The following is a 20,585-nucleotide window of genomic DNA, read 5'->3' on the forward strand; positions in this document are numbered from 1 at the left end:
AGACGGCAAGACCTCTTGCTGTCTCCGGTTGAGATTGCATTGCAGCGTTTGGGTGGTCTTAAGTTCAATGAGTCAGTCAATCTCTAGCTACCCATCAGTCCTCCCAAATCACAGCAGGGTGCATGTTGCATAAGTCAGATGATTCTAGATCCCCCATTTTTTTTTTTTTTTTGAGACGGAGTCTCCCTTTGTCACCCGGGTTGGAGTGCAGTGGCACAATCTTGGCTCACCGCAACCTCCGTCTCTCGGGTTCAATAGATTCTCCTGCCTTAGCCTCCAGAATAGCTGGTATTACAGGTGCCCATCACCAAGATCGGCTAATTTTTGTATTTTTAGTAGAGATGCGATTTCACCAGGTTGGCCGGGCTGGTCTCGAACTTGTGACCTCAAGTGATCTGCCCACCTGGGCCTCCCAAAGTGCTGGGATTACAGGCGTGAGCTACCATGCCTGGCCCCTAGATCCCCCGACTTTTCTTCACACCTCCTGCAATTTTGCTGTTATCTTTATTAGCTGCCTTCTCTAAGTGTTAGCTTTGAAGGAAAAACTTTCTTGCTGAGGATAAATGGTACATGGTACATGTGGTAGAGCGAAGTTGGTGGATTTCTGTGACCCAGTAGAAAGAAGGGCCCAATTGTACCTGTGAATTTGAAGGTTGGTATTGTCCAGTGTGACCAGCCCATTGGTGGCAGTCCTTCGGTAGCCTGCTGGGGGCCTTTCCAACATGTCAATAGGATACCAGTATCGCACCAGCACACCTTCACTGCGGAGGTACGTTTCTACCTGCACCAGTTCATTCACCTACAATAGGAAAAGAAAATGTCTGTTTGTGCTGTTTGCTTTTGTTTTCCATGTGTGCGTGCGTGCGTGTGTGTGTGCGTGCGTGCGTGTGTGTGTGTGTGTGTGTGTGTGTGTATTTTCAGTCCAGGCTTTTAGGTATTATAATTTGTAACTAATTGCTATTTCATAGACAAACGAAAGAGAATTCACAATACATTTTTGAAACACATATTATAAGTAATCTTATTACTATATAAACTTGCTATGTGCTTTTCTAAGAAAATAACAAAATAACAAACATCAGAAATGGGAGAGATCTTATTTTATTTTTTTTGAGATGGAGTCTCACCGTGTCATCCAAGCTGGAGTGCAGTGGTGTCATCTCGGCACACTGCAGTCTCTGCCTCCCAGGTTCAAGAGATTCTCCTGTCTCAGCCTCCCAAGTAGCTGGGACTAGGCACCCACCACTGTGCCCAGCTAATTTTTGTATTTTTAGTGGAGGTGGGGTTTCACCATGTTGGCCAGGCTGGTCTTAAACTCCTCACCTCAAGTGATCCGCCTGCCTTGGCCTCCCAAAGTGTTGGGATTACAGGCGTGAGCCGCCATGCCCAGCCAGGAATCAGAGAGATTTTAAATGAATTCTTAAATATAAATGTGAATTAATGACATACTAGAAAGGCCAAAAGCCAATTACTGAAAAAAAAAAATTTCAATCAAAATAAAAAAAGAACAGGATAATATATACATAAACACACAAACAACCAGACTAATATATATATATTTATACATATATAACCAGATTATAGCAATAAATGCTAGTTTCATGCCATTGATTTAGTCTAAGTTCAAAGACATCTGCTTAGTACTGAGTGTTTTAGTTTTTCCATACCAGATGGAAAATTTTTATTGATACAATAAAGATTTTCAATGTAATCATAAGTTAGCAATTTAAAGAGAATAGTGCTATATTTCCAGCGCAAACTGTTGCTAGGTAAAATTTATGTTCATTGTTTTTATGTTAATAATATCTTAAAAGCAGGGAATCTGTCTGATAGCTGTATTTTATTTCTAGGAAAATAAAAAGTAAGCTCATACATATGTATTTTGGATGCAAATACCAATGCAATTTTCATTTAGGGATTATTAAACTGGAGAGAAATTACCTTAGAAATAACAGAATGATTATAATAAGGACAATTCTATTTTTCTAATTTTTATTTTCACACATTTCTATTGCTCAAAAATATCATCCTAATGTATTTTCTTACAATCAGAGTCAGAAGTTTGCATCAGAAGGCAGTGGGAGATTAACAGTATTATTGATGGAATTTTCCATTTGAAAGTTCACCTCAGTGACCACCAGTCAATAGCCCCTCTAAAAAAATCTAATGAGTTAAATTACATTCTGACAAAATAGAGTCAGATGATGTAATTTTTTTTTTTTTTGAGACAGTGTCTTGCTCTGTTGCCCAGGTTGGAGTGCCATGGCATGATCTCGGCTCACCGCAACCTCTGTCTCTGGGGTTCAAGCAATTCTCCTGCCTCGGCCTCCCAAGTAGCTAGGACTACAGGTTCGTGCCACCATGCCCAGCTAATTTTTGCATTTTTAGTAGAGATGGGGTTTCATTATGTTGGCTAGGCTAGTCTCAAGCTCCTGACCTCAAGTGATCCACCTGCCTCGGCCTCCCAAAGTGCTGGGATTACAGGCATGAGCCACCACATCTGGCCTAAAGATGTAAATTTTTCAAGGTAAATTTCAAAGCATTAATGGAACCTAATATCATCTGTATCTCTCTCTAGACAGATACCAAAGTTTATATCTATACAGTGATTGATGATATTAATATTTTATCAGAGACTCTCAGGCTTGATCTGTATATTATTTCACCAGTTTTTCCTGCATAGGAAGCTTCTCAAATACAAGGATGGGCATGCAACCTCAGAATCACATAGTCATGGCTTTCAAACAGGAGTCTCTTTTCAAAAGAAAGCTTTGGCCTTGTCCTCTCTCACTCTGCCCCCTTCCCGAAAAGTCCTAGCTGTGTCCTAGGAGAGAGCTTTGCAAAATGGAGGAGGAAACCACTGATCCAGTTTAATACACTCATTTTACAGATAGGGAAATTGAGGCTGAGAGAATCAGTGAGATGATGTGATCAAAATGACAAAACTTTTTTCTTTTTTTTTTCCTTTGGAGACAGGGACTCACTCTGTTGCCCAGGCTGGAGAACACTGACGCCATCACAGCTCACTGCAGCCTTGACCTCCCAGGCTGAAACGATCCTCCCACCTTAGCCTCCCACATAGCTGGGACTACAGATATGCCCACCATGACTAGCTAATTTTTTGTAGAGACAGGGTCTCGCCATGTTGCCCAGGCTGGTCTCGAACTCCTGGGCTCAGGTAATCCTCCTTCCTCGGCCTCCCAAAGTGCTGGGATTACAGGTGTGAGCCCCACGCCCAGCCTATTTCTTTGATTTGTGTCTGTATGACCATCATGGCAATGACAGATCATCCATTCATCAAGGACAATGGGGACTTTTCCCTGGGAACTTGGGTAGATATAATGCAGGAACAGTTTGAACATGTCGGACAGAAAATAATGGTAGAGGTGGTGTGGTCTGAAGGCGGCCACAGCTTTGAGACTGGAGAGCCTACCATCTACTGCCAGCCCTGATCTGAGTCCCTGAGGAAAGCTCAGGCAAGTCAATTGGCATTAGAGCATTTTTGCTTTGTGTCTTCGTCCCTGATTTGAAGAGAAACTCATCTGTATAATCACTTTTTAAGGTACCTGGGAATCTGGGTATGACAGCCTCAGTATATATAAAATAGCTTATTAATCAGAATGGCTGTTCACTCACTGAATCAACATCTAAGACGACTCCATGAAGCCCAAAGGTTTTCAGCATCCCTCGGATGGCAAATTTTGGCAGAGCAGTTCCAACAGCACTGCTGGCTACATTATTGCTGTCTGGAGAGCGGGTTACTACTGTGAGACCTGAGGAGTGTAGAGGGAGAAGTTTTTCAGGAAAAAGTACCACTGCATCTGGGTTCTTACATTTAGCATCTAAAATAGCTCTCCAGATAAACATAAAATAATAAAATAAAATAAAATAAAATAGCTCTACGGGCTTTAACAGAACCCTCAGTTTTGTTATAACCAAGCAAGAACACAACTCAGTCTGGAAGGTAATATAATAGAACGTTGTAAAAGCTCTTACAATTGAAGAATAAAAAGACAAATAAGCCAGTTTAAAATGGGCAAAGAATTTTTTGTTTGTTTTTTGAGACAGAGCCTTGCTCTGTGGCCCAGGCTGGAGTGCAGTGGTGTGATCTCGGCTCACTGCAACCTCCGCCTCCCAGGTTCAAGTGATTCTCCTGCCTCAGCCTCTAGAGTAGCTGGGATTACAGGCGTGCGCCACCAGGCCCAGCTATTTTCTATGTTTTTAGTAGAGATGGAGCCCAGGCCCTACCTCTTTTCTTGTGCAGCTGCCTGCCCCACTCAGCTCATGCTACTGAGTTCTGGGAAGTGGGAAGGGCCCCACCAGGGTTGCCCTAGGGCTTCACATGGGGCGGTGTGGAAGAGGTTAGCCCAGTCGGAGTAAGGAGAGTCACCCTAGGAGAACCACCAGCTGCTTGTGCACATTAAGGAAAATTCAACCTCTCATTTCATAGGAAATTTCATAGGTCGAGTAAGGAGGAAAGCAAAACCTTTTCGAACTTTATCAATTGTGAACTTGTTTGCTTCGTCTTTAATGTCTTCAATGGTGGGAAGATAAAGGTCTCTTGGGATGCCACCATTCTCTTCGTAGAGAAATTCAACCGTCTGTCGGGCAATATCCACCATACCTAAAAAATATAACAGCACAGGGTAACTCCCCAAAGAGTACACACAGATCAACCATGACACTGACTTACATGTAGAGTGAAATGATAAGGGAATCTTTCAAACATTGTTTATGAAAGTACATAACCCTTTGGCGAAGGAAATTGTGCAGTATCTACCATGTTTGGAATACTAAATGTACTACTTTTAGGAATGTCTCAAATCTCTTCCACAGAAATATAAGCACTAAGGCCAGGCACAGTGGCTCACACCTGTAATCCCAGCACGTTGGGAGGCTGAGGCAGGTAGATTACTTGAGGCCAGGAGTTCAAGACCAGCCTGACCAACATGGTGAAACCCCGTCTCTACTAAAAATACAAAAATTAGCCAGGCATGGTGGCAGGCGCCTGTAAACCCAGCTACTCGGGAGGTTGAGGCAGGAGAATTGCTTGAACCCAGGAGACAGAGGTTGCAGTGAGCCAAGCTGGCGCCACTGCACTCCAGCCTCAATGACAGGGAAAGACTCCATCTCAAAAAAAAAAAAAAAAAAAATGGCCAGGCGTAGTGGCTCACGCCTATAATCCCAACACTTTGGGAGGCCGAGGTGGGTGGATCACCTGAGGTCAGGAGTTTGAGACCAGCCTGGCCAACATGGCAAAACCCCGTCTCTATTAAAAATACAAATTAGCTGGGCATGGTAGCAGGTGCCTGTAATCCCAGCCACTCGGGAGGCTGAGGCAGGAGAACTGTTTGAACCCGGGAGGTGGAGGTTGCAGTGAGCTGAGATTGCACCATTGCACTCTAGCCTGGGAGACAGAGCAAGTAGCACTGTTGGTAGATAGCAAAAAAGTAGAAAAAACCGAAGTGTTCATCAGTACAAAATGACTAAAAATGGTCCATTATTTTGCAGTTATTTCATTTTCGTTAACTCAAAATAACAAATTACAGGACAAATGGAGAGGAAGAAGAAAGTGAGGGTAACGTTTCTTTTTCTTTTTCTTTTTTTTTTGAGACAGAGTCTTGCTCTGCCGCCCAGGCTGGAGTGCAGTGGTGCAATCTCGGCTCACTGCAACTTCCATCTCCCAGCTCAAGTGATTCTCATGCTTCAGCCTCTCAAGTAGTTGGGATTACAGGCGCGCACTACCACACTCGGCTAATATTTTTGTATTTTTAGTAGAGATGGGGGTTCACCATGTTGCCTAGGCTGGTCTCAAAACTCCTGACCTCAAGTGATCCGCCTGCCTTGGCCTTCCAAAGTGCTGAGATTACAGGTGTGAGCCACCGTGCCTGGCCAGGTTTATTTCTCTCTATATTTTTGTACTGTTTGATTTTTACTGCAATAAACACATGTTGCTTGTTTAAGAAAGAGAGAAGGCTATATGAGCTTCTTCTATCCACTTATTGAGATTGCTCTTTCTTCCCAGAGAAAGAACATACGATTATGTTTGATAGCAACAGCTACTATTAATTAATAAACCAAGTAATTAAATGTCCAAAGACCTGGGAGGAAAAGCATTATGGGAGGAAAGCAAAATGGGCACAATTCCTCCATATCCTGTTGTTGCCTTAGGCCCCACAGTGCCCAGGACGTTGTGGGTGAAAGGGCAGGTGTTGGTCAGGGGCAGTGGCTCACACCTGTAATCCCAGCACTTTGGAGGCCCGGGTGGGAAGACTGTTTGAAGCCAGGAGTTCAAGACCACCCTGAGGGATATAGCAACACCCTGTCACTACAAAAAATAAAAAAATTAGCCAGGCTTGGTAGTGAGTGCCTGTAGTCCCAGGTACTCGGGAAGCTGAAGCAGGAGGATCTCTTGAGCCCAAGAGTTTGAGGCTGCAATGAGCTATGATTGCACCACTGTACTCCAGCCCAGTTAATATAGAGCGAGACTCTCTCAAAAAAATAATAAAAAAAGTGGGTGTTGATAGAATCTGCTTTTTTTTTTTTTTTTTTTTTGAGACGGAGTCTGGCTCTGTTGCCCAGGCTGGAGTGCAGTGGCGTGATCTCTGATCACTGCAAGCTCTGCCTCCCGGGTTCCTGCCATTCTCCTGCCTCAGCCTTCCGAGTAACTGGGACTACAGGTGCCTGCCACCATGCCTGGCTAATTTTTTGTATTTTTAGTAGAGACGGGGTTTCACCGTGTTAGCCAGGATGGTCTCAATCTCCTGACCTCATGATCCGCCTGCCTTGGCTTCCCAAAGTCCTGGGATTACAGGCGTGAGCCACTATGCCTGGCCTAGAATCTGCTTTTTTTACACAAGGCCTAACTCCATCCCACCTATCTACCATTCTTTTATTCACTGGTCTTACTGTAAGGAAAAAGCATGGCAATTTTCTGAGCAGAGTTTAAAAGGGTGCTGTGATTAGAGACAGACGCTTTTGGAATTAAGTGTTAGAATAAACAAGAAATTGTGGCCTAAGATTAGAAGATTAGGGAACAATAATCTTTGCAATGTTTTCAAAAGGAACAGTGGGTATGAGAAAAAAAATACTGTTTGTTTATGTATATGTGTGTGTGTGTATGTATGTATGTATGTATGTATGTATGTATGTATGTATTTGAGACAGACTCTTGTTCTATCTTGCCCAGGCTGGAGTGCAGTGGCACAATCTCGGCTCACTGCCGCTTCTGCCTCCTGGGTTCAAGCGATTCTCCTGTCTCAGCCACCGGAGTAGCTTGGACTACAGGCGTGTGCCACCACACCCAGCTAATTTTGCATTTTTAGTAGAGATGGGGTTTCGCCATGTTGGCCAGGCTGCTCTCGAACTCCTGACCTCAGGTGATCCACCCACCTCAGCCTCCTAAAGTGCTGGGATTACAGGCGTGAGCACCATGGCCGGCCAAAAATACTGTTTAATAAGCAGGAATCAGGGAACAGTGAGAGACTGCCAAATCAACCTTGCAGAGCACATATTCCATTTTAAAGATGGGGAAAGCCCAGAGATGTTAAGTAATTTTCTCAAGTCCACACAGCTGGTAAACAGTATGACTTCAGATGTGAACTGTTAACCACCAGACCACAGAGTTTCCCAGTATAACCACTCCAGCTTCACTGCAGCAGCCCATCAACCCAAAATATTCAGCTAAATTGACAAGCAAATCAAAGTCCAGCAATGAAAACAAAAGATCAGAGTTCACTAAAGGTAAGGTCAAAGACACTGTTAAGTATGGTGCAACATTAGATGAGTCTCTCCTGATTTACATTCTGATTTTCATCCAGCTCCTCACTTCAAGTCATGAAGTAACCTCCTTAGCAGAACAAAAAGTACCAGACCTAGTTGTAAGGCCCCCTTTATCTGGTCCAGGCCCGATTTCCGCTCTGCTTCATTGCGGAAGCGTCTTCGGATGGTAGGAAAAACCTTGGTCTCCCATGCTTTCACCAGCAGGGCGTAGTGGTCCTCCTGGAAGCAGAAGGAACCTCATGAACAGAGAAGGAATATCTGGTGCAGGCATCACTGTTTCCCTAACTTACAGCCCTCACCCTGAGGTCTTCACCCCACTTAAATGCCAGTAATAGAAAGATCAGACATAGACCCCTGTACTAGATACACCCCCAGATGCCAGGGCAGGGAACAGCAACACTAGGGCAAGCTCTTCGTTTCCCTCTAAAGAAGCCATAGAAGCACTTTCACAGGATTCTGAACTATTGCAAAGCACTTCACTTCTCCAGTTTCTGGATCTTCACCGGGCAAAATGGCCCAACGGATATCGCTATTGATAGGGGTTTAGAAAAATTAACACTCTAAGGTCACTGTTCAAGCACAATGATGTCACTGAGAGTAACAAAACCAGCTTTGCACTCTCACATCAAAATCACTCCTCCAGGCTTGTCCTAGTCACTAGGGAGCTAAGCAAATGCTGCTGAGTCCTGATCTAAGCCTGTGGGTCTCTTACCTGAGGGATGTCATCATCGTCATCATCATCGCTTTCATCATCTGCAATGGGAGGCGGGTGAGGGTCTGGGCCAGAGGTGATGAAATTCTCATAGCTGAGCTCGACTTTATAATGACAGGAGGTGTCACTATCATATTCTGTAACAGAGCACAAGGACAGCGAATTCTAAACAAGAGCAGGCTAGAAAAATCCTTAACTTCTCACCCTTAGACAAACCAGATTATCTTAATTTGCATGATAGGAAGACTCCTAGTACACTGAGGAATGTTAAATCACAGAGTCTAGGAATAACTAATTATCTATAATTACCCTGAATCCTAAAATAGTTTTTATGAGTATAATTCATTCAATTCAGAGAAGACTTTAGAAAGTCCTTCACTATAGATAGAACTAAACAGGCTTTTTTTTTTTTTTTTTTTTTTTTTTGAGACAGAAGCTCACTCTGTTGCCTAGGCTGGCAAGCAGTGGTGCAAAGATAGGTCACTGCAGCTAAACCTCCTGGGCTCCAGCGATCCTCCCACCTCAACCTCCTGAGTGGCTGGGACTACAGGTGTGTGCCACCACACCTGGCTATTTTTTAAATTTTTTTGTAGAGACAGGGTCTCACTGTGTTGCCTAGGTTGGTCTCAAACTCCTGGGCTCAAGCTATCCTCCTTCCTTGACTTCCCAGTGTTGGGATTATAGATGTGAGCCACAGTGTCTGGCCCTAAACAGAATCTTAAAACAGTTTGCAAACTAGTATCCAATGGGCCAAATATGGCCTGCAGACATCCTTACTTTGGTGAGCTGTTTTATTTAATTTTATGAAAAAATTGTTACAAGTAATCATAAAAGTTTTTTTTTTTTTTTTGAGATGGAGTTTCGCTCTTATTGCCCAGGCTGGAGTGCAATGGCACGATCTCAACTCACTGCAACCTCCACCTCCCGGTTCAAGCAATTCTTCTGCCTCAGCCTCCTGAGTAGTTGGGGATTACAGGCACACGCCACCACCCCCAGCTAATTTTGTATTTTTAGTAGAGACGGGGTTTCTCCATGCTGGTCAGGCTGGTCTCGAACTCCCAACCTTAGGTGATCTGCCCACCTCGGCCTCCCAAAGTGCTGGCATTACAGGCATGAGCCACCTCACCTGACCATCATAAAAGTTTTTAGTGCACGCCTATATATCCATTGCCTAGCATTTTATTATTCTGTGATTACCTTGGTTTTAGGACAATTTTTGAAAATGAGTAACACTGTGACATGAGGAGACTTCATACAAAGTCCTGGGGCTCTAGTGGTCTTGCACTGGCTGCCCTAAGGCATAGCAGGCTTCCTGGAAATGGGGATGAACTTTCTGGTCTGCTGTGCTTCATCCTGCTCCCCACCTTCTTTCACCAGGCCTGTGACCCCATTACCAATGGGCACGTGAGTTTGCAACTCCTGATTGTAATGAGGATGCTCAAGTGCAATGGGTTTATGGAATTCATAACATTCATGGTCTCAGGAAGCCATGGAGGCAGTAAGTTCCAGGAGGTGACTTACGTTGCTGAGCGGTGGCCACGGCAGCAATCCGGCATGGTGGCCCATGAGTGCCTGGGTCTGATGCAATACTGGTGCCAGCATCATTGTCACTGTCAGATGCCATGGCGAAAGGCAGGGCCTCAAAGTTAGCGCTGATCTCTTCTGCTAGGTCAGTGCACAGGTCAGCAGCATTGCGGTGGGCCTGCCCTTCCGCGTAGGCAAACGGCCGGGAGCCAAAGTTAGCTCGGGTTTTGGTGTTCTGGAAAGGAGACCAAATGAAGGATTTGGAAAGACTTACGTTTATTTTTATTTCTGCAAGAGCCCAAGGCGCAGCTCACTAAACGTCACCTTGGAAGAATAGCCCGAGGTGTGTGCTGGCATGAGAAACCAGGTGGGGGCTGGAGGGACTGAGCACACCTGTGCTCAGAGCCCTGTACAGCCAGCCCTGCCTCCCTGTCCCTCACCTCACACTCTCATGTACTTTGCTGCTCAAACACATTGACCTCTCTTGTTTCCAACACTGCTCCTCTCTACCTGACACTGCTCCTCTCTACCTGACACCAGCACCCATGCTGTTCCTTCCACCTGGAATATTCTTTTGTCCAACTTTGCCTAGTTAAGACCAGCTAATATTCCAGACCTGGCTCAAGCAGCACTTCTTCAGATTAAGAGATACAAGATCAGATGTGCCTGCCACTTGCTTCTAGGAAGTCTGTGATTCTCATTCACAGCATTTACTAGTCTGTGATTACATACATACACATGCATATTTATGTGATTATTTGACTACTGTCTGATTGATTCCTCCAACTGATCATAACCCAATGAAGACAGAGATCATATCTGTTTTGTTCACTGCTATATATCCAGAGCTCAGCATAGTGCTTGACATAGAGTAAGTATTCAATAAATATTTGTTGAATGCATGAATGGAACAGGCTGAGAAATGCTGCTTTAAATTATTGGCATCATTAATTCACTCAACAAATACAGAGATAAAAGATGGTATCAGACACATGGTACAGGGCCAGATCCTATAGGACCTTATAGGTTATTTTTTTAAAAGACGGAGTCTTGGCCGGATGCAGTAGCTCTTGCCTGTAATCCCAGCACTTTGGGAGGCCGAGGTGGGCGGATCATGAGGTCAGGAGTTCAAGACCAGCCTAGCCAACATGGTGAAACCTCATTTCTACTAAAAATACAAAAATTAGCCCAGTGTGGTGGTACACATCTGGAGTCTCACTATGTTGCCTAGGCTGGAGTACAACTGACTATTCATAGGTGCAATCATAACGCATTGCAGCCTGGAACTCCTGGGCTCAAGTGATACTCCCAACTCAGCCTCCAGAGCAGCGGGGACTACTCTGGCACCACCACACCTGGCATCTTGTAAGTCATTATAAAGACTTGGGCCTTTAAAATGCATGACACGAGAAGCCACTAACTGGATAGTGACATTCCAACTAACATCTTGAAAAGATCACTGTGGTTGCTGGGTTGAAAAGACATGTATTACCTTAGAGATGTCCTGAAGGGGGAAAAAAAAAAAAAAGATAAGACGTGAACGGGCAAGAATGGGGACTGGGAGAGGAGTCAGAACACTGTAATGAGCTACCCAAGGGAAGATGGTGGCAGGGCCGGGTTGTTGATGGAAGAATGGGAGAAGGGGTCAGATTCTAGATACATTTTGAAGGTTAGAACCAAGATCTGCTGACAGGTTGGATGTGGAGCAGAAGAAAAAAGAGGAGTCAAGGAGAATATCAAGGTTTTTGGCCTTAGCAACTACAAGCATGGAGCTGCCATTTCCTGAGATGAAGAAGACTGGGGAAGTGGCAGCTTTGGGTTTGGGGGAGAGTTAGGCTAAGTCTTGGTCACGTTAACCTTGACATGCCAATAAGGCATCTCTTTAGAGATGCTGCCCAGGCTGCTGGGTATGTGAGCATGGAGTTTAGGGAAAGGTCTGGGATAGAGATATGGATGTGGGAGCTACCAGCATGTAGTAAGTAATAATGTTCCAGAACATTGGATATTAATAGATGCCCCTTAAGAAACAAGAGTTCCATCATTAAATATGTATGAGGATGCTGGTTAACTAAGTTGAACTTACAAATCTTTACCGAAGGTTCTCTCCAAGTTTCTGACATACTGAGCAACCAAAGAGAATCACTTTCAAAATTTACTTAATCACATAATCATTTTACTGACATTTGAAAGAACTCTAGTGTTCCTTGCATTGTTGTCTGGGAAAGGTTGCTAAAAAAATGTCAAGGCAATGAAGCACTAAGTTCCTGATATAGCATTGTTCAAGCTAAGACTGTGGGGTCAACACAAAGGAAGACACACACTTGCTCAAGCTGGCTCTGCCCTTCCTCTGCCATTGTGTACCAATATTATGTACAATGAGGGCCCGTTTGCTCCCTTTCATTTTTCCATGTCTAACAGGAACAGGTGATGAAGGAGAATTTGTTTTCCTTTCCCAACAAGGTAACCTGCCTTTTTCTGAATGTGAACCACTGGCCACATGCCACCAGAGACGTCTTCAAGATATGGTGAGAGGCGCTGCCCGCAGTATGTGAAGTACACCCGGCCCTTGGCTGGCTGTCCCGGAGGAGGTGGAGTCCCCTCAGTTCTCTCCCAGCCAATTCCTGCCACGTCACCTATAGCAGAGAACGGGAAGGAAAACATATTTTCTCCCTTTTATTAAGTAAATTTTAAATTTGCAACCGGAGTGTCACCCTACACATCACAGACTATTTATGCTCTCATTTACTTCTGAAATGGACATGAAGTTATTGTTATTTATTTATTTATTTATTTATTGAGACGGAGTCTCACTCTGTTGCCCAGGCTGGAGTACAGTGGTGCCATCTCGGCTCACTGCAACCTCTGCCTCCCAGGTTCAAGCAATTTTCCTGCCTCAGCCTCCAGAGTAGCTGGGATTACAGGCGCCTACAAGCACGCCCAGTTAATTTTTGTATTTTTAGTAGAGACAGGGTTTTGCCATGTTGGCCAGACTGGTCTCGAACTGTTGACCTCAGGCAATCCACCTGCCTCGGCCTCTCAAAGTGCTGGAATTACAGTCGTGAGCCACCACGCCCAGCCTAAGTTTTTGTATTTAGATATAAAGTAACATAACAGAAACAACCCATTTAAAGAAGCTGTCAGAATTTTTAGAAGGAAAATGCCTAGTGTCTGTGTTAAATTAGTTACCGCAATTACATATTAAATTTAGCCTTTATTTTCCTGGCAGGCAAGAAAAAAATGAAAAACACTAGGTACTATTTTTAAAATAGAAAAATGAAGTTTTTCTCTTTTGACACATGGAGGATTACTTATGACGAATAAGTAAAAAGGTATTAGTAATATCATCTCCGGTGAATATTCAGAAATGGCCTAAAAATATATAATTTAGGCCGGGCACAGTGGCTCAAGCCTGTAATCCCAGCACTTTGGGAGGCCGAGGTGGGTGGATCACAAGGTCAGGAGATCGAGTCCATCCTGGCTAACACGGTGAAACCCTGTCTCTACTAAAAATACAAAAATTTCGCCGGGCTAGGTGGCAGGCACCTGTAGTCCCAGCTACTTGGGAGGCTGAGGCAGAAGAATGGCGTGAACCCGGGAGGCGGAGGTTGCAGTGAGCCAAGATTGTGCCACTGCACTTCAGCCTGGGCGACAGAGCAAGACTCCGTCTCAAAAAAATATATACATATATATATATATATATATAATATATATATAAAATTTAAGGCCAGACATGATGGTTCATGCCTGTAATCCCAGCATTTTGGGAGGCCAAGGTGGGAAGATTGCTTGAGCCCAGGAGTTCAAGACCAGCCTAGGCAACACAGTGAGACCTCGTCTCTACAAAAAATACAGAAATTAGTCAGGCATGGTAGTGTGTGCCTATGGTCCCAGTTACTCAGGAGGCTGAGATGGGAGGGTCACTTGAGCTCAGGGGGTCAAGCCTGCAGTGAGCTGTGATTGCACCACTGCACTCTAGCCTGGGTGACAGAGTGAGACCCAGTCTCAAAAAAAATAAAAAAGAAAAAAAATACATATATAATTTTAAACTTCACCTACAATGTAAGCTAAAGATAGACCACTAAATTCCATTATGTTTCCTACTTATAAGCATTTAAGGCATTTTGCAAAAAGTGAAGATAACCAACAGAATCCAGGCTGTTATCTGATAAGATGACTGGACACTGTGGTAGGACTTACAGAACCAAGAGAAGCCTGTCAATTGCATCGGCACTCTTACATCAGCTGCCTCAAGCAAGCTGCTAGCACGTGTGGCCTTATAATTTATCTTTTGTAAACTCTCCAGTAAGTGCATGAAGTTCTAAGGTTCTGTTTTGATCACAGAGTCTCCTATGGCTTAGGTACCACAGGAATGGGAGCTTCCCAGTGGCTGGGGACTTGTCATTGTTCGCCACGGCATCCCCAGGGGCCAGAAGAGGGTCTAGCAGGTAGGAGATGCTCAGCAAGTATCTGTTGATGAATGGAAGCCCATGTATTGGTAGAGGGGTTGAGATTCTGTTAGACAGATTGGGTTCTAATTCCTATTCCTTTGCAGACACATTTCTCTAGAAAGAGGGTAGTCTGTGTGCCCGTAGTCCAGTCCTAAATGTTCTCAAAAACCACAACTGATAAAACAACAAATACAGCAACAAGGAAATAAAAACACTGAAAACGCTCCCCCAGCCTACCACCCACCCCCTGACATACACCCTTTTGTGCTGAAAGCACTTAGGTAAGTACTCTGCTGAGATGTCTGAGTTATGCTTTGTGAAGTAAGAGAAAAATTTTTACTTTGCCCTGAAATGATTTCCAAGTCATAGTATGACTTGGCTTGAGTAAAAACACTATGCTGCCAGGGGCCGGGTGTGGTGGCTCACACCTGAGAGCCCAGCACTTTGGGAGGCTTAGGCAGGGAGATTACTTGAGATCAGAAGTTTGAGACCAGCCTGGCCAGCATGGTGAAACCCCGTCTCTACTAAAATACAAAAATTAGCTGGGCATGGTGGCAGGCACCTGTAATCCCAGCTATTTGGGAGGCTACGGCAGGAGAATTGCTTGAGCCCAGGAGGCGGAGGTTGCAGTGAGTTGAGATTGCACCACTGCACTCCAGCCTGAGTGACAGAGCAAGACTCCACTTCAAAAGAACAAACAAACAAACAAAAAACACAAAAAAACCGCACTGTGCTCCCAGGAAAAGTGTAATTTAACAAGCAGCCCCCTTAAGGACAAGTGATGGCAAAAGTAACCTCCAGGCAGCTACAAGAGGCTACCTATTGGAGTGACTTCATATTCCCCATCTCATCATCCCAGATTGTTTACTATGTATCTCAATTTAAGTTCTATTATAGATGAAGCCTAAGATGCATTGTCTAAAAATAAGTAACCAACATATTCGGCTGCTTCGAATGTCAGCAGGACAGTTCTGTTTTTTTGCTATAGCTGGAGTACGTAGGGCCAATCCTAATTCAACTACTATACAGATCTAGTTATTTACATGGAGACTAAAAAGAAGGAGGAAAGGGTTCTTTATTGAGTTGACTGTCTATGTGACTGAAACATAGAGGCAGAACATTTGTCAAAGCTTGACCAGATGTTTATAGGCTGTATCTACCAATAAGGCATTTCTCTCTCTCTCTGTTTTTTGAGATAGGGTCTCACTCTGTCACCCAGGCTGGAGTGTAGTGGTATGATCACAACTCACTGCAGCCTCAACCTTCTGGGTTCAAGTGATTTTCTTGCCTCAGCCTCTCGAGTAGCTGGGACCACAGGCATGCGCCACCACTAATTTTTGTATTTTTTGTAGTGATGGGGTTTCGCCATGTTGCCCAGGGTGGTCTTGAACTCCTGGGCTCAAGTGATCCTCTTGCCTCAGCCTCCCCAAATGCTGGAATTATAGGCGTGAGCCACTGTGCCTGGCCCAATAAGGCACTTCTCCAGTGCCTCACAGCTAGAGGTGGAGTTCTCTTTTTTTGAAGCTATTTATCTGCTCATTAATGAAAGACTAAACTTCAGATAGAAGCAAAATCTCTGAATTATCTAATGACTAAGGCACAAAAGTACACGTAACTCTGGAGTTACCAAATGGAGGCTCTAATGGCGAGGGCTCATAAAGTGAGGGGTTTGGTGTAAACTAGGGGGCAGCAAGGACGTGTTTGGTTTTTGCTAAATGACAAACTGCCCATTTCCAATTGCTAAATTTATTCAACTTTAACCTGTTTAGACCCAAACCTGAGACCAACAGAATCACACAGGGTGGAAAAGCTCCCACTGCACTCACCGGGGGAGAGAGTCACGTCTAAGCGAACGCTCTTCCACTGTAACAAACTGGAGCCATTATAGTGCACGGCTCGGCCGTTGCTATGAAAAATACAAAGAAGGGAGGTCAAAGACAAGAAAGATAAGCCTCACTGGCCAACACACAAACAGGGAAGTGGTGAAGTGGAGGGGGGGTGGTCAGCATTGTGAGATTATTATAGTATCACTTTAGTATTAAAATACCCACACCAATATTTCCCAAACTGTATTCCTAGAATAAAGGGTTATAGAATTTGCAAAATAAACAGATTTTTAAAAAATTACAGGTCAACTAGGAAGGAATCTTACTAATGTGCACTGGAAATCTCCAGAAAGGAAAAATAATGCTCTCCTTTCCCCAAACTCACTTGAAGACAGAACTCTATTTTGACTTCCTGAACACCTATACACACCTTGTGGGAGGCTACTGCTCTCTGTCACACTGAGCTACTTCTTTTACTTACTTATGGAAAAGACAAGTGCCCACTGGATTAGTCCAAGCCCCATCTCGCTTCTCTGCTTCTGTAGTGAAGCCAAAGGAAACTATGGGTCCGGTGTCATCATCGGTGTCTCCATAGGAAACGATTTCAATTTCCCAGTAAAAAGACGGGGCCTGAAGAGATGCCAGAAGAGAGCAGCAATCAGAGGGCTAATCCTGGGCCTGAGACCTGCTTTTTCTTTCAAATCTGAAGATGCAAAAGACAGTGTGTCATGTGATGTCTCACCTGAACTGGCAGTGGTGAAGTGGCATAGATAAAAGTGCCCCGGGGCAGGCCTCCCCCAGCGCTGGGGTCAGCCAGGAAGGTGACTGAGGTAAGGTGAGATGAGAACATGCAGGCTCGAACAGGCGGAAACACTCGCGAGGGGCTCCAAGTAATCTCTTTGGGCTGCATCAGGGAGAAAAACCCATATTCAGTAGAACTGCAAACACAATCCCTTTACTCTCTCAAAGAAGAAAAAAATTTTATCTGATGGTATTAAAATATAGGCATACACACACACACACACATACACACACACACACACATACACACACACACACACACACAATTTATTTATTTAGAGACAGAGTCTCACTCCTATCACCCAGACTGGAGTGCAGTGGTGCAATCATAGCTCGCTGCAGCCTCAAGCTCCTGGGCTCAAGTGGTCCTCTTGCTTCAGCCTCCCCAGTAGCTGGGACTACAGGTGTGCATCACCACACCCAGCTAATTTTTGTATTTTTTGTAAAGATGAGATCTTGCTATATTGCCCAGGCTGATCTCAAACTCCTGGGCTCAAGCTATCTGTCTGTCTTGGCCTTCCAAAGTGCTAGGATTATAGGCGTGAGCCGCCATGCCCAGCCAGGCACATATATTTTTTAAAAAGTGTATCTTTTTTCCAAATAAAATTTTTACTATCCCTTTAAGACACTATTTATCTTCCATTATCATCAATTCCAAGGTCTGGTCCCCATCCTCTTATAGCCCCCATGTAGTTACTGAACAAATTTTAGTACAATTTATAAATGCATGACTTAATATTCAGCTCAAGGCTAAGCAGGGGAACCATGGTGACACTTCCTTTTTCTTTTTTTAAAGGTTAGTTGTCTTGCTTTCTCAGTTTTATTTTTAATCATTCTAATCATAAAAATCTCAAGCTTCTCTATCAGATAAAAGCAACTTTTAAAAAATTTATTATTATTTTTTTATTTTTTGAGACAGTCTCATTCTGTCATCCAGGCTGCAGAATCCCAGCTACTCAGGAGGCTGAGGTAGGAGAATCAGTTGAACCCGGGAGGTGGAGGTTGCAGTGAGCTAAGATCAGGCCACTGCACTCCAGCCTGGGTGACAGAGTGAGACTCCATTTCAAAAAAAAAAAAAAAATTCATATAACACACAATTCACCCATTTGAAGTGTATAAGTCAATGTTTTGTTTTGATTTTTAATATTTATGGGTACATGGTAGGTGTATATATTTATGGGGTAAGTCAATGGTTTTTAATATATTCACAGAGTTGTGCAACCATTATCGTGATCTAATTTTAGAACATTTTTGTCCCTACTGAAGGAAATTCCATACCCTTTAGTAGTCAATCGCCGTTCCTCTCTTCCCTTAACTCTCCTTTGCCCCCACAGCTCCTGGCAATCACTAATCTATTTTCTATGTCTATGGATTTACCTGCACTAGACATTTCATATAAATGGAATTTATATAAGATGTGGTCTTTTGTGTCTGGCTTCTTTCACTTACTGTAATTTCAAGTTCATTCATGTTGTAGCATATATCAATACCTCATTCCTTTTTATGAACAAATGATATTCCATTACATGGCTATTGCATATTTTATTTATTCATCAGTTGATGTATATTTGCAGTTTCCACTTTTTGGCTGTTGTGAATAATGCTGCTAAGAACATTAATAGATGTACCAATTTTTAACATTTTGCCCCTCTTTTTTTTTTGGACAGAGTCTTGCTCTGTCACCCAGGCTGGAGTGCAGTGGCACAATCTCAGCTTACTGCAACCTCTACCTCCCAGGTTGAAGCGATTCTCCTGCCTCAGCCTCCCAAGTAGCTGGGATTACTGATGTGCACCACCATGCCCAGCTAATTTTAGTATTTTTAGTAGAGATGGGTTTCAACATGTTGGCCAGGCTGGTCTCAAACTTCCGGCCTCATGTGATCTGCCCAGCATGGCCTCTCAAAATGTTGGGATTACAGGCGTGAGCCACCATGCCCAGCCCACTTTTGTTTTTTAATTACTCACTTATGTTCTCTGTTATGAAACTGACTGTATCTCTAAACTTAAAAAAAAAAAGCTTTCTTTTTGTTATTGACAGCACAAAGAAGCTATTTATAAATTATGAAGTTTCGCTCCCCTGCTATAATTTTCCAATATTCAGAATGTCAGCTCAATTTGCTCTGACATTCAAAGATGAGAGCATGGCACCGCAAAGAGGGCATGTCACTGCAAAAGAATGCACCTCCAAACGGCTTTGCAAACACTTATTCTAAATGTCCTTAACTTGCTGCTGGCCTTACTCAGTGATGTGTGTGGAGGCTGCAGGAGGCGCGAAGCACCGCAGAGGGCTCACCTGTCTTCGGTCAGCCTGCAAAGGAGGTGGTGGGGGCCGAGCACAGTCCCGGTAGAGCATCCTCAGCCGTTCACACTGTACCTCCACAACTGCAAGTCGCTCTCCTGTAGAGGGCACATGTTGAATCTGTGAAAACAACTCCCGCAACTCCCAAGTGGGTGCTGACTCTTTTGGAGCAGCATCAAAACAATAAAATGCACTTATAGAGCTCATTGAATTTTTTTTTTTTTTTGAGACAGAGTTTCGTTCTATTGCCCAGGCTGGAGTGCAGTGGCGCGGTCCTGGCTTACTGCAACCTCTGCCTCCTGGGTTCAAGAGATTCTCCTGCCTTAGCCTCCCAAGTAGCTGGGATTACAGGCACATGCCACCGCGCCCGGTTAATTTTTGTATTTTTAGTAGAGACAGGGTTTCACCATGTTGGCCAGGCTGGTCTCGAACTCCTGACCTCAGGTGATCCGCCTGCCTCAGCCTCCCAAAGTGCTGGGATTACAGGCTTGAGCCACCGCGCCCAGCCTGAAATTCTTATAAAACAACAAATACCCCGAGACATCTTTGTCTTCCATAACGTAGCCCAGCATCACAACAATGAGGGCAAGTGCTTAGCCTCTGGTGCAGTCCAACTCCTGGATTCAGAACCTGGCCCCAGTACTCAGTATTTATCATCTCACTTGCAATACTGGGTAACAACAGCACCTGTGTCTCACAGGGCTGTTGTGAAGATGTGATGAAATAACTTAAGTAAAGCCCTTGGCTAAGTCCCTAGCACAGGCATTCAATAAATGTGTTGTTATTCTCATCATCTAATAAATGAAGACTATTATTCTTATCACCTAAATTAATTTTTAAAAATCTAATATCTATGGAGCACCTGCTATGAGCAAGGCACACTGCGAAGTGTTGGAGAACACAAAGATATATGAGCCAAAGCCCCTACTATGGAGGGAAAATAAGATGCGCACACACGCAGACCACACACAGGCACACACACACAGTAAAGAGCACAGTGCTGGGCTGCAGTATGTGATTATGTAATATAAGGTACAAGCAGAGGCACAGGTGAATGAGCAGTGACTTCATTCGAGCATCCAGAAAGGCTTAATGAAAACATCATTAAGTTAGATCTTAAGAAAGCCAGGTGCGGTGGCTCATGCCTGTAATCCCAGCACTTTGGGAGGCTGAGGCAGACGGATCACTTGAGG

At 44.0% G+C, this 20,585-nt stretch overlaps 1 protein-coding gene across 2 annotated transcripts in view; it reads right to left on the minus strand.

The window, feature by feature from the left end:
* Nucleotides 1-20,585, minus strand: part of HECTD4 (HECT domain E3 ubiquitin protein ligase 4) — a 222,237-nt gene that overhangs the window by 39,805 nt on the left and 161,847 nt on the right. For both annotated transcript variants that reach the window (NM_001388303.1, NM_001109662.4), the window contains exons 45-55: nt 19,387-19,490; nt 17,035-17,196; nt 16,774-16,922; nt 16,293-16,372; nt 12,488-12,651; nt 10,016-10,253; nt 8,495-8,631; nt 7,875-8,001; nt 4,487-4,624; nt 3,637-3,773; nt 639-799 (exon numbers count right to left, since the gene is read on the minus strand). In NM_001388303.1, coding sequence (NP_001375232.1) covers nt 639-799; nt 3,637-3,773; nt 4,487-4,624; nt 7,875-8,001; nt 8,495-8,631; nt 10,016-10,253; nt 12,488-12,651; nt 16,293-16,372; nt 16,774-16,922; nt 17,035-17,196; nt 19,387-19,490 — 1,597 coding nt within the window. The remainder of the gene's footprint in view (nt 1-638; nt 800-3,636; nt 3,774-4,486; nt 4,625-7,874; nt 8,002-8,494; nt 8,632-10,015; nt 10,254-12,487; nt 12,652-16,292; nt 16,373-16,773; nt 16,923-17,034; nt 17,197-19,386; nt 19,491-20,585) is intronic.

Source organism: Homo sapiens, chromosome 12 (assembly GCF_000001405.40).
Source record: "Homo sapiens chromosome 12, GRCh38.p14 Primary Assembly".
In the NCBI taxonomy this organism is placed as follows: Eukaryota; Metazoa; Chordata; class Mammalia; order Primates; family Hominidae; genus Homo; species Homo sapiens.